General features: G+C 42.3%; 1 protein-coding gene across 2 annotated transcripts in view; it reads right to left on the bottom strand.

Annotated features, from left to right (window-relative positions):
• Positions 1-14,287: 14,287 nt before the first annotated feature.
• Positions 14,288-26,950, bottom strand: part of GAD2 (glutamate decarboxylase 2) — an 88,187-nt gene continuing 75,524 nt past the window's right edge. Inside the window, exons 14-17 of one of the 2 annotated variants that reach the window (NM_000818.3) lie at positions 26,274-26,381; positions 25,855-25,944; positions 17,851-18,058; positions 14,288-14,812 (exon numbers count right to left, since the gene is read on the bottom strand). In NM_000818.3, the coding sequence (NP_000809.1) occupies positions 17,885-18,058; positions 25,855-25,944; positions 26,274-26,381 (372 nt within the window). In that variant the 3' untranslated portion in view covers positions 14,288-14,812; positions 17,851-17,884. Of the gene's footprint in view, positions 18,059-25,854; positions 25,945-26,273; positions 26,382-26,950 lie in introns of both variants that reach the window. The other variant, NM_001134366.2, reaches the window with a different exon arrangement.

Below are 26,950 nucleotides of genomic sequence, written 5' to 3'. Positions count from 1 at the left end.
ATTAATGATTAGACACCTACAAAACTCAAACATTGTAAATCACTTTTGCTAGAGTGGCTTCTATCCCCCACAGGTGTTTACATACACAGTTCCCATTCCGGGAACACGTTTTCCCCATTATACCTGAGTTACTCTTATCCTTCTCTCTTAAGTTATCAGGAAAGTAACGTCTTTATCATAGGCTCTTGTAAGGTCACATAGCAAGCACTCTTTTCCTTCCTTCTTTCCTTCCTTCCTTCCTCCTTCCTCCCTGCCTTCCTCCTTCCCTCCCTTTCTCCCTCTTTCTCTCCTTCCTCCCTCCTTCCCTCCCTCCCTCCCTTCCTTCCTTTATTTTATTTTTAATTGACACATAATAATTTTGCAAACTTATGGAGTGCAGTATGATGTTTTTATACACGAATACATTGTGTGATGATCTAACCTAGGTAATTGGCATTTCCATCACCTCAAACATTTATCCGTTCTTTGTGGTGAGAACATTCAAATTCCTCTCTTTCAGCTTTGTTGAAAATATATGACATATTAAAATTGCAATTTTACATTGGTTTGTTTTATTGTCTTCTCTCCATTTAGGAATATCCCCATGACAACTGGAACTGAGCCTCTTTTTATTCCCCATTATGTCTCAAGGGCCAGACATTGTGGGTACTGGATAAATGCGTGTTGGCTAGATGAATGCTTGAGGGAGTGAATCACCTGTGGAGAGAGAAAGCGTGTGTGTGTTTGCACACGTTAGGCAACTAGTGGCACCTATTGAGATGCCAGCCATGCCATGAACCATTGCCTTTTCCTGACGTTTGTCCCTGATCTATGGGCATGGGGACTGGGAACCTTATTTATACTACATGATACCAGCATCTTGGAGATGGCCACCTTGACCAGGGGAGACACTTGTTCCCAAGCTCACCCAATCACATTCTTCCTTAAGAGTAAGAACAAGAGGCCGGGCACGGTGGCTCATGCCTGTAATCTCAGCAATTTGGGAGGCTGAGGTGGGCGGATCACCTGAGGTTGGGAGTTTGAGACCAGCCTGACCAACATGGAGAAACATCGTCTCTACTAAAAATACAAAATTAGCCTGGCGTGGTGGCACATGCCTGTAATCCTGGCTACTCGGGAGGCTGAGGCAGGAGAATCGCTTGAACTCAGGAGGTGGAGGTTGCGGGGAGCTGAGATCTTGCCATTGCACTCCAGCCTGGGCAACAAGAGCGAAACTCCGTCTCAAAAAAAAAAAAAAAAAAAATCAAGAGACAGAGACTGGGAATTGGGAGCTGAGTCAAGTGATGGATGGTAGGGCTCCAGAGGGAACAAACATAAACTCTCGTGGCTAACATCATCAAATCACCCTGATCCCTGCCCTTCTCAAGTTCTGAATGTTCCTGGGGTTGGATTCTATGCGCTATTGCAGTATTCTACCCAGTTTTCTTTCTTTACGATAGTTTAAGTTTATTTTCATTACTTGTAACCAAAGAACCTTAACTAACTTAGTATCACTATTGCAACATTCCACGTCGAAATTAGGGCCATGACTAAGGTGAGTGGCAATAGTAATAGAGACAAAGCGATGGATTTACAGAAGAACTGATACTGGTAGAAGCTGGTGACAAGCAGGGCAGGATTTCATGTAGTTATGTCTGAAATGGAAACAGATGATTTTTAATGTGCTCTGTGGTAAACTCACGAATTAGTTTATGTGACTGAACATTTATTGACTCTAAATGAAATAGATCTAAGTGCATAAAATGATTTCTCTAGATTTTTACTTACTTGCAGCATAATAAATTGAGCAAGGTTTTATCCCCCTTTGTTAAATGCATCTGAACATTTCTTACAGCTTGTAACACTTGAGGGTTCCTGAACCTATGGCTGCCCCTAAAACTGCACTTGTTCTAATCTTACCTGTTTGTAAGAAATCATAGTTTTTAGTTAAGTAAAATTTTCCATCGCAGACTTCTCTTTTGTGTGGTATTCTTTGTACAGAACCAGGGTTCCAGCCTTCAACGGCCAAGGGTCAAGACTTCCAGTGTGAAGAAGAGGTGCTGGGGAAGTTCGCTCTGGCCCCAGGGGCCTCACCTAAGCAACCCACACCCCAAATAAGTGTGTACTTGTTGCCTAACCTCAGACAGTCCCCCGCCTTTTCTCATAGATGCTTCCAGGACAGTAACTATTTAGGTTTGATGTTTATTGACCCAGGAATGGTGGCTCATGCCTGTCATCTGAGCACTTTAGGAGGCTGAGGCGGGAGAATCACTTGAGCCCAGGACTTTGAGACCAGCCTGGGCAACATACTGAGATCTTGTCTCTGTAAAAAATTAATTAAAAAAAATTAGCCACGCATGGTGTTGCATACCTATGTTCCAGCTACTCAGGAGGCTGAAGTGGGAGGATCACTTGAGCCTGGGAGATGGAGGCTGCAGTGAGCTGCAGTGGCACCACTACACTCCAGGCTAGGTGACAGTGAGACCCTCAAAAAAAATTTATTTATTTTTCCACACCCATCCCTCACTAGGTTTGAGTTTTTTTTTTTTTAAATGTCTGTTAGTCAACAAAATGCATTTAGCCCCTTAAGACCACAGCATCCTGTCTGGCGAGGGGAGAAGTGGCCCCAGATGACCCACTGGACTATGAGCCACACTGTCTCCTGGAGCGCTGCTCCTCGGGATGGACTCCTGCACCTTCCACTTGTGCTGCGGGAGACTTGGGAAACCTTTCTTTCTCTCGACCTTTTGGAAAACATCCTTCAAGACCCAGGCTTCTCTGTGCTCCCAAGGAGGCATCCTCACAGGACTACAGGGATGATTGCAACACTCTGTGTGAATTTACCTCCTCTATCCTGCCGCACTGAGAGCTCCTTGAAGCCCAAGACTATGTAATCTCATCTTTGTCTCCCAGCAACAAATGCATTGCATGTATTCAGTGTTTATCCCGACTTACTCTTGCCTGACTCTTGTTTGTTTGTTTGTTTTGTTTTGTTTTTTGGAGACAGAGTCTCACTCTGTCCCCCAGGCAGGAGTGCAGTGGCCCGTTATCAGCTCACTGCAAACTCCGCCTTCCGGGTTCAAGTGATTCTCCTGCCTCAGCCTCCCGAGTAGCTGGGATTACAGGTACCCACCACCATGCCCGGCTAATTTTTGTATTTTTAGTAGAGACGGGGTTTCACTATGTTGGCCAGGCTTGTCTCGAACTCCTGACCTTGGGTGATCCGCTCAAGCTCGGCCTCCAAAAGAGCTGGGATTACACGTGTGAGCCACCGGGCCCAGCCTTCTTGCCCTACTCTTTCAGGAGCTAGGCTGTGATTCTTAGGTGCAGAGGGAGTTTATGAAGTCTATTATCTATTTTATGTACCTATTCTTTAACATGGGAAGTTCATGTATATGTTCTTAGGCAGCATGTGTCTCCCTGCACTCCTGAAGCAAATTGTGTTATTTACACTCAGAAAGAAATAATAACTGAGGCTTTTGTCGGTTTATTCTCTTCCCCGTTCTGTTTTTCCCTTGGTCGAGCACAGAGAGGACAAGATAATTACGGTTTCTGTGCCAGACAGAAATTGAAGGAACATGGTCCCTCCTCGGGGGGGTCTTGGCTGCCAGGATCCTTGTGTGTTTCCCCTTAAAAGAGATCCAGGGAGAGCTGGGTGCGGTGGTTCATGCCGGTAACCCCAGCACTTTGGGAGGCGGCAGATCTCTTGAGCCCAAGAATCAAGACGAGCCTGGCCAACATGGTGAAACCCTGTCTCTACTAAAATTAAAAAAAAAATAGCTGGACATGGTGGCACACGCCTGTAGTCCCAACTACTCAGGAGGCTGAGGCACAAGAATTGCTTGAGCCCGGAAGGTGGAGGTTGCAGTGAGCTGAGATCACACCACTGCACTCCAGCCTGGGCAACAGAGTGATAAAAAGAAAAAAAAAAAGGAGAGCCAGGGAAAGCAGCCTCCTCTGGTCTGTGAGGAGATGAATGAAGGCTGAATGCACTTCCTCCTGAGCACTGGCTGCAGGGTGCCGGGCGTGGGAGACACAGCCTGGCTGATTCTATTCCACGCATGCCAAGGCCTTCCATGACCCGACTGAGTCATCTCTTTGCACAGAGGCAGCTACAGTGGCATTTGTCGCTCTGTCAACCTAGGGTCCTCTGTCTCAGGTGGCCGCTGCTCTCCAGCTAATGGGTGATTATCTGGTTTGCCCCTTGTGGAGCCCTGTCTAAATGGAATCCAATAAAGTCCTTGTAAATGAGTTTACTAGCATAAAACCCGCTCCTGATGTGCTCAAACCCACCCACGACTCTTTCTGCAGAAGCACATTGACTCAGTTGATATTTTATTTAAACAAAGCCAAACAAAGCCCTTAGTTTCTAGTAGGAGCTACCCAGGGCAGTGAACAATCACATTCACAGTGCATCTGTAGATCCGGTTGACTTACCAGCAACAGCTCCATTAGAGGAGGCGATTCTAAGACCACAGGGAGGAAGAGTGATTGCAGGACAGAGGAGGGGAAGGAAGGGCAGTTTGCCAGGGCCAAGGCCCTTCCAGATATTTTCCATTAAATTCCTACAACCCTCTCCCATAAGTATCACTAAGCCAATTTTACAGGTGAGGAAAAGGCACTCAGAATTCATAAAGTGAAGGGACAATATATTATTGGGAAGTAGGGAACTTTGCCATTGGTCTAGGAAGTATTGAGGGGGTTTCTGGAATTTTGGAGTAGCTGCCTTAGATTCAGGGTGAAGGTAAGACAGAAAAATCAGTCCATGACTCTGCCATCCTTCAATGCCGTTATGGAATATTGCTGTAAAGACGAGATTAATGGTGCCAATGGGTGGGGGTCCTTCATGCATTGAGTCTACTCATAGACTAAGTAATCTCCTCATAATTTATGATAGGTTATTATGAACGAAACAGATAATCACTCAATGTGAGAATTTAATTCCCTACCCATGTGTAACTAACTATGGTTCATTCTCAATATATATTTTACCTAGAATTCCATCATTCTTTTAAAAATGTAAAGTGAGAGGATGCTTTGTCTTTGCAGCTTTAAAAAGCCCACACACACACACACACACACACACACACACACACATATTGAAACACCTCTTTCTTTACATCTTGGCTGCTAAGTAATAATTGGAACATCTGCTCATTCCTGAAAATAAACTAGCCCGGCCCAGCCAGCCGTGGAGACGCACAATGAGAAATGTTTTTTCCCACTAGACTATGTCTCCCTGGTACAGAGGGGTTGTGAACAATTTAAATGAAAGTGAATAGTAAAGAAAATCCCTATCCTTTACTATCGTAGTCTCTGCAATCTTAAAAGAGACAAACTGTACAGGAAATAAAGAGAAGGCAAAAGACACGGCGGCAAGATTTCCTTTTGACTAAAGTCTGAATTGAGACTCTGATTCTCTCTTATTTTTTTCACGTTTGTATAATTGAATTTTCTTGGAATTTACAAAGTTACTGTGTTTAAATAAATTGAAATCCCTTTTGAAAGTGATTTTCTTGCCAACTGTAATAAGCTTTTAATTACTTTTCCACAGCCTAGAAACCTCTCTTCTGACACTTTGACAGGGAACACAAACTTTTTTTCCAAAAGCGGAGACAGGATTGCAGGTAAAGAAGTGGCTGTTCAGCCCCCAGGAGTTCATAGTTTATTCGTGTTTATCCTGCACAAGCTACAAAGCAGGGGCTAACTCGGAAGCAGGGCTGACCTCAACTCAGAACTTTTTATGCTCCTTTGCTACTTGCGTGTGTGTGTGTGTGTGTGTGTGTGTGTGTGTGTGTGTGTGTGTGTGTGTGTGTGTTATTGAAAAGTCCTGAATGGCTTTGGGGAGAATAAATCACTTTTCCTTCTTACAGTGTGTCCTCAGTTGTTTTATTCAGCTATGGCTGGTTTAATAAAACAACACAGACTGGAGGGCTTATAAAAGACAGGAATTTCTTTCTTTAAAAAAAATTTTTGTTTTTAGATAGAGTCTCCTTCTGTTGCTCAGGCTGGAGTGCAGTGGCACACAAGCATAGTTTACTTCAACCTCAAACTCCAGGCCTAAAGTGGTCCTCGCGCCTCAGCCTCCTGAGTATCTGGGACTACAGATGTGCCCTCCCATACCTGGCTAATTTTTTCTAGAGATAGGATCTTGCTATGCTGCCCAGGCTTGTCCTGAACTCTGGATCTCAAGCGATCCTCCCACCTTGGCCTGCCAAAGTACTGGGATTACAGGCATGAGCCACTGAGCCTAGTCCAGAAATTTATTTCTTACGGTTCTGGAGGCTGGAGGTATGAGATCAGGGTGGCAGCACTGTTGTATTCTAGTTAATGCCCACTTTTAGGATGGAGACTTCTCGTGGCATCCTTATATAGCAGAAGGGTGAGGGAGCTCTCTGGGGCCTCTTTCATAAGGGCACTAATCCCCTTCATGGGGTTCCACCCACATGGCCTAATCACCTCCCAAAGGCTCCAGCTCCAAATACCATCCCACTGGGGATAGGTTTCCACATATGAAATCTGGGGGGACACAAACCGTGGTGAGTTGGCACCAATGACTACTTCTCATTGTGGAAATAGAGGCCAGTAACCATTAGGCAAATGACCATGTTAGCAATTCTTATGAAGCCAGAACTTCTGTTCCATACCATTTTGCTCTAACTCTTTGATGCGTGCCTGTCTGAGGCAAGAATGCACCTGGGGAATGAGTAGCAGGTTATCATTCCAACTAAAATAATTGATTTCCTCTTGCTCTTCCTTCCTTCCCCCACTCTCCTGCCCAGCCCTCTGGGTCTCTGTCCAGTCACTAATAAAGCTAGGACTAAGGATGTGATGGGGGCTGCCTCCGTCACCTGCCTGCTGTCCTCAGGGATGCCTCATAAGTGGCTTTCTACAGGGTGACACTGCTGTTCATGATCCTTTATGTGGGAATTCATGATCTTCTCTGGGTGAGTTTAGGTAGCATGAAGGGCCTGCCTCTAAGCCCAGTCCTTTCAGGTGACACCACCAAATAAAGATAAGATTAACACATGTTGCAGTCACTCTGTTCCAGGCATCGGACTTTTTTCTCATTTGAATCTTCACCATCACCCTATGAAGTAAGTGTTATTTTTGTCCCTGTTTTACAGATGACAGAACTGAGGTTCAGAGAGGTTAACTGCTTTGCCCAGGGCCACAAAGCTAATAAATGGCAGAGCCAGCATCTGAGGCCAGGCAGTCTGACACTAGCTACTGCTCCAGCAGTCTCCGCGTGAGAGGAATGAAAACGTGAGAGCACAGACCTGACCTCTCCTGGCAGGAATCTAGGTTTCCAAGATGCTGCAAACCCAGGCCGTTGGGATACCTCCTCCCGTGAAATCACAGCACTCCTAACTTTTTTTTTCTTTTTTTTTTTGAGACAGGGTCTCACTCTGTTCCCCAGGCTGGAGTACAGTGGTACAGTCTCAGCTTACTGCAACCTCCATCTCCCAGGGTTAAGCAATCTTCCCATCTCTCCTGAGTAGCTGGGACTACACGGGTGTGTCACCAAGCCTTGCTAATTTTTGTATACTTTTGGTAGAGACGGGGTTTCACCATGTTTCCTAGGCTGGTCTCAAATTCCTGGGCTCAAGTGATCCTCTCGCCTTGGCCTCCCAAAGTGCTGGGATTACAGGCATGAGCCACCGCACCCGGCCACTCCTAATATTTACCAAGTCAGATTTGTATTTGCTTTGCTGTGGACATCCCTGGGAAGGAAGTTAATAGAACTCAATGCTTAGCAGGCATTAGAACAAAAAAAAAATTTTCTTCCTAAGAACCCTTGTCTTTCAGAATTAACACCTGCAATTTGTTGTTTTATCATAAACACTGGGCAGGCCATTCAAATGCTGTTTGGGTTACCATGGTAATTGGAATCCCTCTACTATTATTACACATGAAAAAAATATCAGGCAAGGATGATGGGAGTAGGGACATCTCTAAAAATCCCATATACATTGAATATTAATATTGTTTCTACAATGAAAACAAATCCCTTTCATTATTTAGTCTTAAAATACTCACATATGCATCTGATGTAGACATTTGGTAACTGCAGTTCATCAAAGGCCACAAGAAAATAAACTCTAATATCCTTTTGGGATGAAGAAGATAAAACTGCAATAACAGCTTTGTTGCCCTCTCTTCACACTCATCTCCCTCCCCATCCTCTACTGCTGACTTCCCCTGGGAGTTAACTGGGACAGCCAATATTTAAAAAGCACTGAGTTTAGAAAGTCATTTCAAATCAGAGCTTTCTTTGCATAAACAAGGCAGATGTTAAACCAGGTGCTTTCCCTAAATGGACGTTTTGATCTGTGTTGCAGAGAGTTGTTGGTTTCCATGCAGCGGCAGATGTTGTCAAATGTGTGAATTTGTTTGAATCATGGACCAGGAAACAAACGTGAAGTAGAAGAATTGCCACTCCCCTCATTGAAGCAGGGAACCATCTACATCATGATGTAGCCCCAGAACTCACTCTGATCTGAACCAAACAGAGTGAGGCAAATATATTTTGGTATTTTTACAGTCACAGCGTCTAATCCATCTATCAAAGACTGATTTTGAAGTTTTTTGTTTCTTTGAAATATCATGAAAGATCCTAGGTTCTGATATCATTAAATGGCTACCTGGGGAGGAAAAAGATGAAAATCTCATGATTTTGCATTGCCAGAGTGAAGCCAAAGATAGCACCTGCCTGGGTAGATTGCAGTAAAATGCACACAAACAGGTAGGATTCCAACACTGAGAGGTGTTGGGATGTGTGTGAATTTGAAATGAAAACACATTTTCATTTGGCAGATCCTTAGCTTCTAGTAGCACAGAGATTACACCACAATCCACGGTCTTCCAAAGCTTTCAATTTGACTTGTAAATATTCAAGTCACTTTGAATAACATTTATTAAGGGCTAATTACCCTGAAATGCGGTGGGGAGAATCTGCAAGATTTGATGAAATTGGTGGTTCTCAGATTTACAGTTTATATACCACTATAATTTTTAAGATGCAGGGGTTTAAAATGAAGTTTCTGACTCTTTTGTCAACTAAGATGTCATCACTATATTATCTTTTAAATGAAAGGATACCTTATGAACAATAACAATTTAAAAATATAATGAGGACATAATCTGAGATGAGACTGTCCTTGAAATTGAATAGCTTTAGCTTCCCAAAAACACTTCTTGGTTGTCCTGGGCTTCTCATTTGGCCACAGATTGGACCCATCTTCACTCTGCCTGGGTCCAAAGCCCAGGGTCTGGGAAACTCTACCTTAGATGACCTTTCAGGGTGTAAATGAAAAATAAAATTCTAAGCCCCCAACCATCTGAATAGACCCCTGTCTCTCAGCAAAGAGCATTCCAAACCTAACCTGAAAAACTAGTCTGGGCCATGATGGGAAGGGAGGGTCGGACATGCCTCATTAAGCCCTCTTCCCATTTGGAATTACTGATAGATCAGACTGTTTAAGTCTGATAAGAAACATTTACAATCTAGTCTCTCTCTGAAGTCTGCTACCTGGAGGCTTCACCTACATGATAAAACCTTGGTCTCCACAACCCCTTGTCTTAATCCAGACATTCCTAAGTCTTATAGTCAATAACTTAACTCATTCAACCAACTCCCAATCAGAAAATCTCTGAATCTAACTATGGCTGCCTGCTTCCAGTTGTCCCACCTTTCTGAACTGAACCACTGTGCATCTTACATGTATTGATTGATATCTTATGTTTCCCTAAAATGTATGAAACCAAGTTGTGGCCTGACCACCTTGGACACATGTTCTCAGAATCTCCTCAGGGTTGTATCTCGGGCCATTGGTCACTTGTATTTGGCCCAGAATAAATCTCTTCAAATATTTTACAGAGTTTGACTCTTTTAGTCGACAAGGGTATTTCCAGCTGTCTAAGTCTGTGACTGGAAGGCATGTCTCTGCCCTCAAAGAAAAATGGAAAGACCAGATTTACAGATGGCAAACTGCTGGAGAACAATTCTAGGCAATACAGATGCCAGGAGTGACAGGATTACACAGACTTAATGTTTCAAGCACAGTATGTTTCGTTAAGGGTAAGTGAGGAAGGCTTTATGGGATAGGTAAATGCAGTCAGGTCTCTTAACTAGGTATTTTCTTCTTGGGAGAGATGTGGCAAATGCGAGCATCCCCTTTAGACTGGGCTACTGGGAGGGGCCTCAGAGAGCCCAGGACTGGAAGAAGGCCAGCAGCGTCCCTCAGTGGAGGAGAATGCAAGGTCCAGGTGAATATTTTCATTTAGTTCGTCTTTAGCTTATATCTATCCACCCTGTCTCTCTTCCCCTCTTGTCAAAAATTTTATACTGTCTTTCACACGCAACCATCTGCTCTCCCCGTGGCAAAAACTGTCCATCTGTGGAGCCGTCCGATGGGTTCTTCCTGCTCACTACACAGAAAAAAAGAAAACAATTCACTGAGACCACAGCATTGCAATGAAGAGTTTAATGGACACAAGCCCGGCCACACCACGTGGGAGACAGAGTTAATCCTCAAATCCATATCCCTGAAAATTCAGAGGCTAGGGTTTTTCAAGGATAGTTTGGAGGGCCAGGGAGTCTGCTTCTAGGTGGGGCTGCAGGATGGCTCAGCAGGGTCAGGGTCGGTGGGTTCCGATGGAGCCATGGGTTGTCAGAAACGCAAAAACCTGAAAAGACATCTCAAAAGGCCAGTCTCAGGTTCTACAATAGTAATGTTATCTGCAGTAGTAATTGGAGGAGTTGCAAATCTTAGGACTTCTGGAATAATGGCTGGTAATCCTTTATGTCTATACCTTAGCAGAATTCAGGGTCCTTTCATCCTCCTAACCTGGTGGCCTTTCCTTAGCTTTACAAAGGCGGTTTAGTTTTGGGGAGGCTATTATCATTTAAACTATAAACTAAATTTCTCCCAAAGTTTGTTGGTCCAAGCCCAGGAATGATGAAGGGCAGTTTGGAGATTACAGGCAAGATGAGGATTGGTCAGATCAAATCTCTTTCGCTGTCATAATTTTCTCACTGTTACAATGTTTGCAAAGGCAATTTCATTTGTAGTTCCTTTACCATTTAAAAGCAATTTTTATTTTACATTTTCCTTAGAGATCACCGGTGAAACAACAGCTCGGGGGCTGGAAGAACAGGGAGCTGGATGAAGGGAGAGTGGGCAGGATGGGGAAGGGATATGGGGCTAGTCCCCAGAGCCTGCTCCCTTCCTCAGCTGCTCTGCTCCAGGCCTTTCCTCTCTCCCAAGCCTCTCCATTTCATAGACATAGATTGTTACGCCTGTGAACCACCCGCATCCTCACAGTGTGTTTTTATAGCATTACTGTTTAATTTTGGGGAAATGGACCACTCTAGTTCTCTCTAAACGTGAACTCTGAGCTATTGATCTTTTGGTGTTTGCTCCTGTTTTGTGTCAATAATTGAAATAAATTATAATGTTATTATTGGACCACCAAGTCCATTAAATTATAGTGGGTGTGTCCATGTGCACTTTCAACTATATAGCTATATATGTGCATATATATAACATATATGTATATACACATACTCATGTATGCGTGTTTTGATAAGCAAGTAAATTAAAAGAGTAAGACGGCTCTGATTGGCCCTGTTAATGGAAAACACCTATGAAGCTTCAGACAGAGTTGTCTCAGATGGCAAACACCGAGTTGAACTGAACATTGCCTTGGGTTTAAATTTAGAGAGAGGTGTGTTCACCTAATTGGAGTAGGCAGCAGTTCTTTTAGCCAGCAAATCTGAGCGATGTTAGCTGACTCTGTTGGTAATCTACATTGGACAAGCAGAAGATGATGCCAAAGATGACATTTCCAGGCTGGACTTGTTAGGTGGGTGCCCAGTGACCACTACTGATGGAGAGTTAGTAGTTGGGGAATTCAGAGGAGGGTAAATATTTAAGGAGGTGACGTGAGTTGACTTACAGAACTCATCATCAGTACAAGCACAAGGTTTGTTGAGCACTTACTGGGTGTCAAGCACCATGCTAAGTGCTGTGCATCCATGTTATTGAATCCACACAAAAACATCATGAAGAAGGCTGTGTTACAGGAAAGGGTCCTGATCCAGACCCCAAGAGAAGGTTCTTGGATCTCACGCAAGAAAGAATTCAGAGTGAGTCCATAAAGTGAAAGCAAGTTTATTAAGTAGAGGAATAAAAGAATGGCTACTTCATAGACAGTAGCCCATTTTTATGGTTATTTCTTGATAATATGATAAACAAGGGGTGGATTATTCATGCCTCCCCTTTTTAGACCACATAGAGTAACTTCCTGACATTGCCGTGGCATTTGTAAACTGTCACGGTGCAGATGGGAGTGTAGTAATGAGGACGACCAGAGGTCACTCTCATCACCATCTTGGTTTTGGTGGATTTTGGCTGGCCTCTTTACTGCAAACTGTTTTATCAGCAAGGTCTTTATGACCTGTGTCTTGTCTTGACCTCCTCTCTCATCCTGTGACTTAGAATGGCTTAAGCATCTGGGAAAGCAGCCCAGTAGTTCTCAGCCTCATTTTCCCCTGCCCCTATTCAAGATGGAGTTGCTCTGGTTCAAACACCTCTGACAATTGCTGTTGCGAAACTGGGAAACAGTCAGGGAAGTCAGGTGATGTGCTCAGGTCTCACAGCTGGTCAGTGTGGGACTGTGATTAGATCCCCAGTGATCCTACTCCAGAGCCTGCACTCTTAGCACCTACAAGAGATGCTCCCCAAACCGTGGAGAAGTGGAAAATTCTTCCTAGGCCAAGGGAATAATGTGAACAAAGGCAGGAATGTGCAGTGTCCTCTTTATCTGGCTATCTTCTACTGGTTCTCCTATAATCAATATCGAAATTAGCTAGAAATTCAGCCTTCTCTCCTTTTTGTCCGCCTGTATCCCATCTCTGTTTAAAATCGTATCTCTTTACTCCATCCAGAATTTTACCATTAGGGGCAACTCAAGCCTGTCGGGCAACCGGCACCCGACAAGGCACATCAGGCATATCTATTCCATCTGTTAAATTCCTACGGTTTTCTAGCTTTTAACCTGAGCACACCTCTTAGCCTCTGCTCCTGAGAGCCAGGGAGCAAAGCCCCTGAACACAAGACCAGAACTTGCAACTCACAGAAGTCCAGAAATAGACTCAGCACACTGGAAAATACACACAGCATATGCACAGTGGGGCATATATGGCGTTGTACTGTGTGCCTGAATTGTAGATGTCTCCGCTGTCCTGAAACACGTAGCCTCACCAGATTTTCTGAGCCACAGGCCATGGGCTTTGCTATGAAATTAAGAATTGGCAAAATGTGAACAGTAGTTGGATATTTGACATTGTTATGGTAATATTACTATACTTTTAGCTGTGATAATGGTATTGAGGACTTTTTTTTTTTAAGAGTCCAGGCTAGGCACGGTGGCTCACACGTGTAATCCCAGCACTTTGGGAGGCCGAGGCAGGTGGATCACCTGAGGTCAGGAGTTCGAGAACAGCCTGGCCAACATGGTGAGACCCCGTCTCTACTAAAAATACAAAAAAACTAGCCGGGCATGGTGGCGGATGCCTGTAGTCCCAGCTACTCAGGAGGCTGAGGCGGGAGAATGGCGTGAACCCAGGAGGCGGAGCTTGCAGTGAGTGGAGATTGTACCACTGCACTCCAGCCTGGATGACAGAGCAAGACTCTGTCTCAAAAAAAAAAAAAAAGCAAAAATTAGCTGGGCGTGGTTGTGCACACCTGTAATCCCAGCTCCTTGAGAGGCTGAGGCAGGAGTATCACTTGAACCTGGGAGGCAGAGGTTGCAGTGAGCCGAGATTACACCACTGCACTCCCATCTGGGTGACAGAGTGACACTCTGGCTCAAAAACAAAAACAAAAAAAAAGATTCCTAATCTCTTAGAGGTTCAGATAAAAATAATTTAGTGTTGGGGAGGGAGAGGGGTGGGGGAATGGATGAAACAAGATTCAGGTTCAGAATCAGTAGATGTTGAATCTGGGTGAAGGCTACACAGGAGTTTATACTATCTTCTCTACCTACTTATGTATGTGAAATTTTCCATAATAAAATATTTTTTAAAAAAATATCAGATCTGATTGAAGGAGAAATCAGAGTGGGACAAAGATATCCTTCAGAAGCTACAGTGTGGGCAGCTGCAGAAGAGCTTTTTTTTCCCTACAAAAGACCCAAAGACACTTTAAGCTCCTTGACAAGTGAAGGGCCTTTGATTCTAGCAATTTGTTGAAAATCATCTCCACTATAAGACAAAGTCAAAACAATTATCCACAGGCTGAGATGTGTCCACATTTACACATTTATTTGGGTTTAGAGAGACAACACAGATAAAATACTTGGATCATACACAAGTTTATATTTGGTAGGAAGAACAGGTTGCCACATGTTTGTATATTTTATGTTTTTATTTTTTTCTGTCTTTAGTAATGGAGTAATGTTGGGGGAATGTTGATGTCATTCAGAAACACCAATTTGGGAACGGTAGTTTGGCACACCTAACTAATAAATACACAGTGTTTGCATTTAGCATTTGAGAACAGAAGAGCACGTGCAAAATGATACCCAGTTTGAGGTTCCTCATCCTGCTACTATATTTACACCTGTGCCTTCTTTGTCCATATTCTGAAGAGTAGCAACTACTCCAGTGACCAGCAGAGCCAACACCTACGATTTTGGCAGCTGGTGACACTCCATAATTGGTAACGTCTGTTCTCAGAGACAAAGTGGTGTTCACCTTGCATTTTGTGAAGTCGCACAATTCTCAAAGGAAGTTTCTCAGTAGGGGGCTTAGCTGAGGGCATGTTCTCTATTAGAGCCGATGTGGAGGGCATATAGTTAGGAAAGAGAGAGAGAGAGAGAACAGGAACAGATGCAAATGTAGTTTTCATAATATCAAAGTTCAATACAGCTACCACACAGAAAAAGACATATCAATAATATATTGTACAAGCTTTTACAGAAACACATGTTGATTTGCAACACTGTACAGTTCAGATCTAAAGTGCACAACCCCAATCTGAGGTGACAAGACAGTATTATCCAGATAATAAAGGCAACACAGTCAGAATTGATTTCCTTTTCTTTCCTCACATCCTGTGGCAGTATATGAAGTCCATACCATGTATAGGTCTCAGATAAAGACATATCACACTTGTTTGTTCAAGTATTTTAAATGATAAACACAATATTGCTGTATAAATGAAAATGGCCATGTCAGTTCTGATTAAAGCTAAAACCAAACTTTTCTAAGATTTGTAAAGAATGGGCACACATAAAGACCATGGCACTGGGAATTTGGGCTAATATTAAAAATAATCTCCCTTCTTTCCTCCCTCCCTCCCTCCCTTCATTTCCTTCCTCCCTCCCTCCTTCCCTCCCTCCCTCCCTCCCTCCCTTCCTCCCTTACTCTCTTCTGACCTGATTCCACATCTCCTTTCAAGATGATTTATTAAACTACTGGGACCTACTAGGCTTTTATTTGCTTCCTTCTTTGGGCTACAGTTGGTAAGGATTTCCCTGCACAGGCCTGAGCAAGGCTCTCAGCCAATTTGAAGGAGTACTGGGAAGGGGTAGGGGAGCGGGGAAGAAGAGCTATTGTTGTTGCTAGAATTGTTTTGCTGGAATTTCATATATAGGCACAAATTGTCCTTTAAAATTTTACCATCTCATTAACCTAAAAAGCAGCAGTTTATAATCTAGGATCTGTAACTCAAAAGATAAAGCATCCTGGAGTACAGCAGGGTTGGTTCACCAGGGCACTGGGCCCCACTGTCTTCTCCACGAAGGACAGCAGGTTGGATCAATTAGCATCTCTGTCTCTGAAGTGGAACCTTTGGGCCTGAGGCTCCGGATAGTCGGGCAGCTATGTGCTTATTCTCAGCAGGCAGTTTTGAGAAAGGAACTGCTTTCTAATGCTTTGTCTAATGCTTGGCCATTAGACAAAGCCTAGAATGGAAGGTTACTCCTTCATGAAATTCTGCGGGACAGATGAAAGAGTTTATTTCTGATTGTCATAGTGAACCCATTTGTTTTTCTAGACAGAAAGGGCCCAAAGCCATGTTCATATCAAGTTATCACTGTTTTTGCATATAGCCTAGGAGAAATAATGTAGGGGGAAGCTTATGAAAATTTCAGATGGCTGGATCCTGTGGTTATATTATAGGGCATTTCTCTATGTTATATTGTAGGGCATTTCTACCCGTTGAAGGGCAGGGCCTTCTCTCTTCCCTTGTATACCTGCAGTCTGAGTACTGAACTACCTGGTCCATTCAGAAATGGAGAATGTTCCTAAATTTGCATTTGCAGTCTGCATATCAATCTATTGTTCTCCAATCAGCACTTGGAATCTGACGATGTGTGACCCCATAAATATCTATGGAAGCTTTTGTTAGCTCATGTTTTTCTATCAGGTTCACAGGGAAAGAAGGATGTTTTAAAAATACTATTTTGAATTCTAAGGATCTTATTATTTCTGCATATTCTGGTCACTTTGGATCTCGATGGGAGATGGATAAAGGAAAATCTTAAGATAATGCCTCAAAATCTAGGGTGAGAGGCTCATTTCATGGAAGAAAAACAACCACCCATGGAATATAAAGTAACTATTTTGGGTCCCAGTGGTAGGGAGTCTAGTGGGAGAGACTTTGTGGGGAGGAATGGGGAGGGGATGGAAATGCGCAACTGGCCTGGAGGTAAATTTCTCTTTCCTGGACAGTGGCAATATGGCGCCAGGATGATGTCATTATTGTCCCACAGAGATCTCTTCTCCCAAGGCCAACTTTAATTTTCTGGGCTCACCACATTCTGGGAGTGTGCTTCATTCCTCTTTGCTCAGGCTGATAAGGTTTTATTTTTACTTTCTCTAATTAATTCAAATGACCTAATAAAAGAATACTATTTGGAAGATGCCTCAAGAACTAGCATCAACCTTCTGTTCAAAACAGGCCGAACTGGAAAGCAGAATAGAGACAATTACCCTAATTTAATCTGAGATGAAGCCTGGTTTGTCACGCTTGCAGAGTGAGTCCGCTAAGAGTAAAATGGGTGGAAAACTTAAAGGGGAAGAGAATCTTACTGCCAATGGGATCAATTATTTTAAAGAACTCGCAGTATTCTTTTGTGTTTGTCTTGAAATACTAACTTTAGAGATGTGATAAGCCATAACATGTATAGAAAGAAGCAATAATACCTTTTAAGAATTTCGTGGGTCAATGTTTCAAAATAACTTTGCTAAGTGTTTTATTGTGCCTCCATTAAGAGAAAGGAAAAAAAAATCTGGCTTAGATTTTATATCTGCCCCCGCAGTTTGTATAACCTATATAAAATAAAAATCTATATGTTACAAAATAGGATATCTTTTTTAATATATATATTTTCCTTTTGTAAAATTATATGTATTTAAATACATTTGAAATGTTGCTATAGGTAAATTAGAAATTTTTTTCTAATACTATGAAAAAGGCAAGAGTTTTTATTGTCAACATATATTTTATATTTACTTTGTCCTTTTTACTGCACCCCAAAGAACCTTTTATGATTCAGGGGCAATTTGGCACTATTCAGTCCTACTAGTCTGAAGTGAAAATAAAGTTTGCTTTGCACACTATATTAAAAGTAAGGGAAGTATTTATAACAATTTTAAGCTTTTCCTTATTGATTAGAACATAGCCTTTTGTCACGAATTCTTAGAGAGGTATTCTAAACTTAAGAAAGGACTTTTAAAAGGAGCAATGTCTTTTTTGTTTAATTTTTAAACTCTACTTTGACACCACAATATAGAAATAGATTTACTTTGGAACAAACTACAAATACATTCACACAGTTTGTGACAACTTAATTGTCTACCTAGAGAAGTGGAACAGCTTGGTGAGCAAGGTTATTATAAATCTTGTCCAAGGCGTTCTATTTCTTCAATCAGGAAGTCAATGTCTTGGTGAGTTGCCGCTGGGTTTGAGATGACCATGCGGAAGAAATTGACCTTGTCTCCCAAGGGTTGGTAGCTGACCATTGTGGTTCCATACTCCATCATTCTGGCTTTAATCACTGGAGCCACCTGTGGGACAGACCATATCAGCATGGTGACTTTCTCCTGGGACTCTCCCCTGAGTCAAAGAACCCAACAGCAAGCAGCGTCTTTAGTTTTTAGCTCAACAGTCAGAACCTTATTGTTTTCTCTTGAAAGAGTTACCTCCAAGTTTTCTTGGGATCAGAGAATTAGAACAGTCTAACACATTCAAGATCCTGCAAGTGATAAGAGGAATAATAAGTGATAGACTATCAGCTGCCTGCCACCTTGTCCTTGACTTTCCAGTTAGTGTTTTGGGAGGATGGGATGAATCTAGTATTGGCCCCAAGCTAAATGGGTTAGCAAGACGTTTGGGGGCATTTTCCCCCCACAGTAAATGTAAAAACATTGGAAATAAACAGTTCAGAGGATTGTTACCAAAATGTAAGTTTGAGTGTCAGGTGATATATGAAGATAAGCAGACTTTTGGCAACTTTCTTGAAACCCCAGAGCTTTCTAGTTTCTTTTCGTTCTCTCTTTGCAGTGCCTCACTTTATAAGATATTTTGAAAGATAATCCTTAATAATGATGATAATTAGCTGGGACAAAAAGCTGAACTCACAAGGACTTAACATATGTTTCATATCACAGACAGGATAGCATACCACAGACGAGATTATACTCTATTTATGCCAGATTTTTGATTATAGCCTCAGTAGCTCTCTATTGTATATGAAATTAAGTTTAAACTCTAGTTCAGTGCAAAGACCTTTCATCATCCATTTATGAGGCCTCATCTTCCACCACTTGCCAAAATGAATCTTCAACTCTGACAAGACTCCTTTATTAAATATCTCTTGAATTTACCATATGTATTTTTATCCCTTCACACTTGTCATCAGTGTTACTATGTCATACTTGTTCTCTGTGCTTAGAATCCATCCCTTTTCTCTTCTGGTTCATATCCTACACACACTTCAAGATTCCACCACAGTCCTACAACTGCTATGAAGCCTTTCCTGACTTCTAGTGTCCATCAGTAGCTCTCTTCCTTTAAGCTGTAAACATATCATCCATGATCCTTCCCCATAGATTCTGACTATATGCTAATTTCCTACTATCCTCTTACTTTCAAGCAAATACATTTTCTTTCTCTACCTCAACTGTCAGGTCCTGGAGGGCAGACACAGTGTCTTCTACTGTTTTTGTTGTTGTTCTTTACCAGCACAGTGCTTGGTTCATGTTGGGGGATTCCTAAGTTCTTATTGCTATAAAGAGTAGCATAATAGAAACAGCTATCTAGGAAGAAGCAAAAACTTAAATCATGTCTAACTGTACATACAGTCTATCCACATATATTTACCACTGGAGTTTGTAAATATATAATATCTGATCTTCATTTCTGCAAATGGTAGATAGACATCAGAGAAACTTTTAGACTTCTTTGAGTTTCATATGGTCAGAAACCCGGTTCAAAATGGAGACCATGCCTTCTATCACAGCTGGATTTATCTTAAATAGACAGTTCAATTCAAATGGAATGCTGTTATGAACATGTGACTTATAAATATCAACTCTTAAATAATCATTGGTTTATAATGAAGTTTTCATCTTCAAAGTATCCAATGCATAAAATAGCAATGTTCCCATTGGGTCCAATCATTTGTTAGTTACCAAAGACAAGGTCAACAGGTAGACTTCACCTTCACTTCTCATTCTGAACCTAATTTCCTTCTCTAAAAATGAACGTGGATGATTCCAGCATTGAGATCTTCTGACTCTACATTGAGTTCTTATATCCCTTCCCACCCCTTGTTCCATGGGGAGGAATGTTTCTCTTGGCCTGATCCTTCTTTCACCTAAAGCATTAAGAATGTATGCAGAGCACTGGACTCATCCCAGGGAATAAATAAGAAGAAGAATTAAAATATCTCAAATCTGAGATTAACTTCTGAAAATAGATCTACTAGCATATTCCAGCCAAAGGGGCATGGAATTTATCCTTTGTGTTGTGAGGCGTGTCAAGTCAATGTGGTTCCTGCGAAGATAAATCTCAGATTAGAAAAGGAATTCCAAATCCACTTGGCTGCAGGAATTTAAGGACAAGTCACATAACCATTCCTTAGTTTTATTTGTATAATAAATCACGCTTGCCCTTTAGAACTGATAAAATAATGACAGAGCTTTACTCAGTAAATTAAAGTCTCATTTAGTTTTCATGGGTAATCCAAGCAAAAATACAGAAGAATGGCACTAATTATTAAGGACAATCATCTCTAGCTTTTCAGATGAATGCAAATCAAAGGTTAAAAGATTAATGCTAACAGCCACAAGCAAACAGATTTGGGCATAAAGTAAGATTGAATCCCCTCAGTTCCCGAAGCAAGCTGAATTGGCAGAAATCACAGCTGTCTAAATACATATGACTTTTGGTTGCTTCCAGAAAATGCTGATGAACTAAAATTAGCCGGAACATGAACATCTACTTCGTTGTATATTCACTCATTGCAAGTTAAGAAGGAAAATAAGATTCGGACTATTCTGATGAATATATGTGATCTGTGGGGCCAAAATAGACACTCCTATATCAACTAAGATGGGTCCAGGGTTCAAGGCCTGGCTGGAGGGCAAATTACTAAATTCCTAATGATTGAAATTCCCTAACAATAGGCGCTATGAGACCCCCTCCTTACCCTGATTTACTAACCAGACCACTATAACTCTGACTAGACAGAAGACTGACCTTACACACATTCTTTCCTGGTAAGCAATTGCAGACCTTAAGCCAGTTTTAGCAGCTTATAGATGCGGTGCACAAACTGTGTTTATGTCCTACAGTTCACCTTTTGACATGAAGAGCCAAATTTCACCTCATTCTAACACTAAAACCCTGCCCCGAAGTAAACATGGGATGTATGTTACATATATGTTTACTCATTCTGCATGTGCTCAGCTCCCCTCATAAATATGGATAGCTTTCCCCCAAAACCTACTGAATATGTATGACTCTACTGTGTGATACAGGCCCTGTGAGGCATAAAACCCAACCTGCCCTTCCTCTCTTGGAAGAGAGGGCACCTTCCACACATGCTGGAGGCTGTCTCTTCCCAGTTTGCAAACTGATATCATCAATAAAGCTCTCCTTTCTACTATCTAGCCATCCCAGTGGTCTTTTGGATGAAATACATAGAGATTTCACTTATTTCTAGGCTTTTGTACTTTTTGGTTGGATTCCTAGTTTTCCTAAATAAAGAACGCAAGTTGAGAAAGAGTGGTTGCATGTTGAAGAATTCGCTAAAGGTATAGTCAACAAGAGCTCTTTGGGCCTGCCTTAATAATTTTAGGGTATTGTCTTCTCTCTTGTGCCATTAGCTTTTTCAGTCCTTTAGAAAGCAATAACCAGGCGACTTTTCCATAATTGGAATCCACATTTGTCCCTTTCAAAGAGGGTGCATAGTAAAGCATTATGAAATAAACTTAAAAGATATCACAGAAATGTATTTTTCACTATGTCTTAGAAAACCTCTTTGTTTTTACATTTTGGAAGACTGCGAGAAATTTCTGAAAAATGTAAAAGCAGAATAATTAAATGAGAAATTCTAAACTGTTGGCTAGGCTTGGTGGCTCATGCCTGTAATCCCAGCACTTTGGGAGGCCGAGGTGAGCCGATCACTTAAGGTCAGGCGTTCGAGACCAGCCTGGCCAACATGGTGAAACCCCGTCCCAACCCTGTCCTGACCAAAAAATATAAAAATTAGCTGGGTGTGGTGGTGTGTGCCTGTAATCCCAGCTACTCGGCAGGCTGAGGTGGGAGAATCACTTGAACCTGAGAGGTGGAGGTTGCAGTGAGCCGAGATGGCACCACTGTACTCCAGCCTGGGCAACAGAGTGAGACCCTGTCTTAAAAAAAAAAAATTCTAATATGCGAAAATTTCACCAATTAAATCCTCTATTGCACTTAATAACACAGACTTTCAAAGAGTCTGTATTAAATATAAGTCCAGGCTACTTCCTTACAAATTTAGTATTAAATCCACTGCTAACCTTTGAAAAGTCCTCCAATCAGTGTAGGACTATAAAAGCTGACAGAACCAGATAATGATCAAGAATAAAAAAAATTAAAATAAGAAGATAAAGAACCAGAAACACAAGAGGTGATCAATAGACCAGCCCTTTTGATTCTTGTTTGGTAAACATTGGCACAGCCCACTTGCTGCCCCTCCCTGTGTCCAAGGCATGTGTGTGGCGTCACATCCTCATAGTGCCCCAAGCATTCATCATCTGCACTGCCTCAGGGACAAAGCGCCATCTGCAAGATCATAGTCCTGACAGAGCAGCAGGAAGCACACTGACTGGATTCTCGTGTTTACCACCCTCATGAAGATATGACTGTATTTGCTTTATTAATAACTTCTGTTATCCAGATATTTGTCCCCAAATAGTGCACTCTGGAAAAAGGCTTATGAGCCACTATTAGGTTTCCTAAATGTTGTTTCCCTTCCTTATTCTGGAATATGCCTAAGGTATTTGCTATAGACTGAATTTTTCTGTCCTCCCAAAATTTATATGTTGAAATCTTAACCCCTCAATGTGATGATATTAGGAGATAGGGCCTTTGGTAGGTGATTAGTTCAGGAAGGCACAGTCTTAGGGACCCCAGAGAGCTCCCTTGACCTCTTTCTGCCATGTGAGGATACAGGGAGAAAAAGGCCATTGACGAACCAGGAAGTAGGGGTTCCAGCAGACACGGAATCTACTGGCACCTTGATCTTGGACTTCCCCGCCTCTAGAACAGTGAGAAATAAATTTCTGTGCTTATAAGCTACCCAGTCTATATTAGTCTGTTTTTGCAGCTCAACCACGCTAAGATACAATTTTAGCTCAACAAACGATTTTTGAGTTCCTATTGTGCACTACAGCTATGAATCAGGCAAGATGGTACAGAGTAATTTCTCTGCCTTGTCTTGTCCAGAATTTAACTTTGTTCTTTTGGTTCACATAAACTGCACAGGAAACTCTGCATTTCCCCAAATTTTGAGTCTATATCGGCCTGGACCAACAGAACTCTGTGCAGTGATGGAGATGTTCTATATCTGCACTGTCCCATAAAACAGCCATTGGGCACAAGTTGAGTGACTGAAATGTGGCTAGTGTGATTGAAGAACCAAATTTTTGGTTGAATTTAATTTTAATTGATTTAAATTTAAATATGAATAGCCACATGTGGCTATTACTACCATACTGGACAGCATAGATTATTTCACCTCAGTTCTTTTCCCTCTGGGACTGTGTGTGTGTGTGTGTGTGTGTGTGTGTGTGTGTGTGTGCATGCGTATGAATATTTTACTGGTTCCTGGACATGATACTTTAAGGGCGTCACACTTAATAAAGAACTTTCCAGAAAGTCTGAAAAAATCATTGGCATACGTGAACAAAAGTTAAACTTGGTATTCATGTGGTTCTATTTTCATTTCCAAATCTGAATTGCTGAATTCTCTTGATTACAGTAATAAAATTGGAGAAAAATCAGGAGAATTCATTCTGCAATCCCCGGAGATTTTCATATTTGAATTGTCAACAGTATAAAAACAGTTTACTAATATTCTAATTGCCATCTCCAGGAAATAATCTCCATCCCCATTCTTCATTACAGCTCATATGAGGTGCTGAAACCTAGGAGGCATTTGAAGAGTGATATTTAAAAGGGGGAGCCTCCAAGTTGACTTTTGTTCAGAAAATGATGAAAAAAAAAAGTTTTTATTCTGTATTCCCATCTTGCTCCATCCCTCAGCCCAGTGATAATGGACTGATTCAACAAATGAAATCAGCCAAACTAGTCCATGGATTCTCTTTCTGGCCAGTCAGTTCAATAAGGAAGTGAAAGCCAAAAAGAATGGAGGCATCTAATTTCTAACTGGTTAAATAAGTCATTGTTAAGAAATTTTACATTATGAAGGTATACCATAAAAATTCCAGGAAAAATAAGAATTTTTTCCTCTCAAATGACAGCAGACACCCGCACCCCCTATTCTCGTTGTTATTGCCTGCACCGATCATCTTATCCAATGCGACCTCTACTCATTCCCTCCCACCCTGTGGGCTTGATTTCCTGGAATGAACCAACTTCACGAAATCATCAAACACAACCACAGCCCCTTCCATCTCAGACACATGCACCACGGATCCTGGTTCTAGAAGCTTTCTTCCATTTTTTCCTCTAGATCAGGGGTTCTCTAGCTGAGGTGCACATTGGAATCATCTAGATAACTTCCAGAATCATTCCCAGGCCCATCCAAGCACAATCTGATTACATTTTCAGGGTGAGACCTGGTCACTAGTGTCTTTTATGAAGTTTCTGGATGATTCTAATGTATGGCCAGGATTGCAAATCACTACTCTAATTAGGAGGCTTGGTTTAAAGACCTCAGCCATATGGAAGTTTCCTCCCGATGAGGAGTTTGATCTTGGGTTGCTTAAGGACAGATGTTAACACATAAAAGCTTTAGTGAAGGTTTTATATCTACACAAAATCCTCTTCTTCATTTTACGTAGAAGGAACTAAAGTGTTCCCAAAGGTCAGTGAGACAGCCCAAGCTCCTGAGCAGTGAGGGGACAGCCTGCGGGGCTCTTGGCAGTGACTGGAGGAGGTTCCCTCTTTTATGATAAATGAAAAGAACCCCCAAACCAACCAAATCAACTCTGAGATCCAAGTCTACATGACCATCCCTAGTTTCGAATGGGGGACAGGTCCTGCATATACCCCGCTTCGATGTGCACTGTAAACCCCATTTCACCCATGTATAAGTGCTGGGAGCAGGAGAGGATGAAAGATTAATGGTGTCTTACCACAGTACCATTTAAAGCTCAAGCCCTTAGGCTCGGATGCAGACTTTCTGCGAGATTTTGGGAGTTACATTTTCTCCCTGTGGGTCAGTTTCTCCATCAGCAAGATGGGTGGACAATCCTTCCCATGTCAGGTTGCTCTGAGGCTTTAAGTGACCTAACACCTGATATTGAGCTGGGACACAATGCACACTCAAAACAGTGGCTGTTATTATTGCTCTTTGCCCTCTTACCTTCTAGGGGTCACCACAGCTCTAAGGACACACCCAGGGTAGCCTTGACCTTGGCAGCTCAAGAGGGTCAGCAGCAGCGTTGTTTGCTAACCATTTCTGGTACCTAAAGTCTCTTTTGTGCTTGTAACTGAGCACCAGTTTCACTTGGAACATCAATGAACTTCAGCAACGTCCTTGTTGCTTTGTGAATGCCAGCAAAGGTTATCGCCTGACTACTTCTTTCAAGACATCATAAACTCACTCTCAGAAAACAAGCAAATAGAGTTGTTAAAAGTCTGCATAGGCCGGGCACAGTGGCTCATGCCTGTAATCTCAGCACTTTGGGAGGCCAAGGTGGGCAGATCACCTGAGGTCAGGAGTTCGAGACCAGCCTGGCCAACATATTGAAACCCCATCTCTACTAAAAATACAAAAATTGTCTGGGCGTGGTGGTGAGTGCCTGTATTCCCAGCTACTCGGGAGGCTGAGGCAGGAGAATCGCTTGAACCCGGGAGGTGGAGGATGCAGTGAGCTGAGATCACGCCACTGCACTGCAACCTGGAAGACACAGTGAGACTCCATCTCAAAAAAAAAAAAAAAAAAAAAAAGAAGAAAAATGTCTGCATATATCAGGCTCTATATGTCCTGGCTCTGTAGGAGTCCACAGACGGGAATGGGCCCATGTACCCAGGTAGGCTGTCTCCTAAGGCCACAGGCATATGTCATAAAGAAGATGTGCACATGAAAGGCTCAATACACACATGTATCAGAGGAGCTTGGAGCACTGACCTTCGAGAGGCGACTCATTCTCTCTTCATTGTCTTCCAGAGTACGCAAGCTTGGAGGAATGTACCAGAAGCAGACATTTGTGTGCTGAGGCTACAAAGAGGAAAGGAAGATTCACATTTGGCCCAGGCTGGCAATTTTGAAAATTCCAAGAACATTTCAAATCGATGTATTCAGCAGGTTCAGAACACAATTCCCACTTTTCAATCAGGAATTGCCATTGGAGGGCATGATTTTGACAACGTTATATGGACCACTTTGAGAGTTTCGTCTTTATTCCAGCTTGGAATAGCTACCCCGTCATCCACTGCTCCCCTCTGTAATCGTCCCACTTACCTGGACAGCACATCATTTACATCATATCAGTGATGAGGGTTGGAATTGACTAAACTTTCTGAGATTGTAGAAATCCAAATACATACCTTCCCATCAAACACCATCTCATATCCTTCTCGGTTTTTTATGATGTTGTATAAATACTCTGCCAACTCCAAACATTTATCAACATGCGCTTCAAACCCGGTAGTCCCCTAGGTAAGAGAAGGACACAGCTCATTAAGCAGGCTAAGAGTGCGGAGGAAGCGATTTCCCTGGAGACTGACCGTCATCCTGCCGTCTCTGTCTTAGCCCCGTCTGGCACTTTCTCAACACAAGGCTGTTTCCAAAGGCTTTTTCAGCGCTATTTTCTCTTCAATGCTCTCCCCGTCAGGTGCTTTTGTTCCCTTTCATTACTGCTTTCTACACGGAACTCCTTTTCTTCCAGAGCCTCCATTCCCCAGGCAATTAGTTTGACTACTCAAGAGGAAAATGTGCCTCTGCTATTCATAGGAATAATCATGGAAGTCATTAATAACAGGAGGGCTGAGCTACTCTCTTCCTGCAGATAAAAAGCATCACCAGAGACCCCCCAGAATGCCTGCTTAGTTCCCCTCCAACGTGCACATTTTCCATTCCCAGAGCCCATCTTTGTCTGCCAGTGTACCTGATACAGAAAAAATTGGGTAGGTGCTCACTGACTTCATTGAACAAATGGATGCAGGAATTTTAGGGAGCACCCAGATGCTTTGTTAGCCTGTCGAGCTCTGTACAGTTCTCCTTT

Source organism: Homo sapiens, chromosome 10, assembly GCF_000001405.40.
Source record: "Homo sapiens chromosome 10, GRCh38.p14 Primary Assembly".
In the NCBI taxonomy this organism is placed as follows: Eukaryota; Metazoa; Chordata; class Mammalia; order Primates; family Hominidae; genus Homo; species Homo sapiens.
The sequence above is the reverse complement of the archived record's forward strand: the minus strand, read 5'-3'. Positions and strand labels throughout refer to the sequence as shown.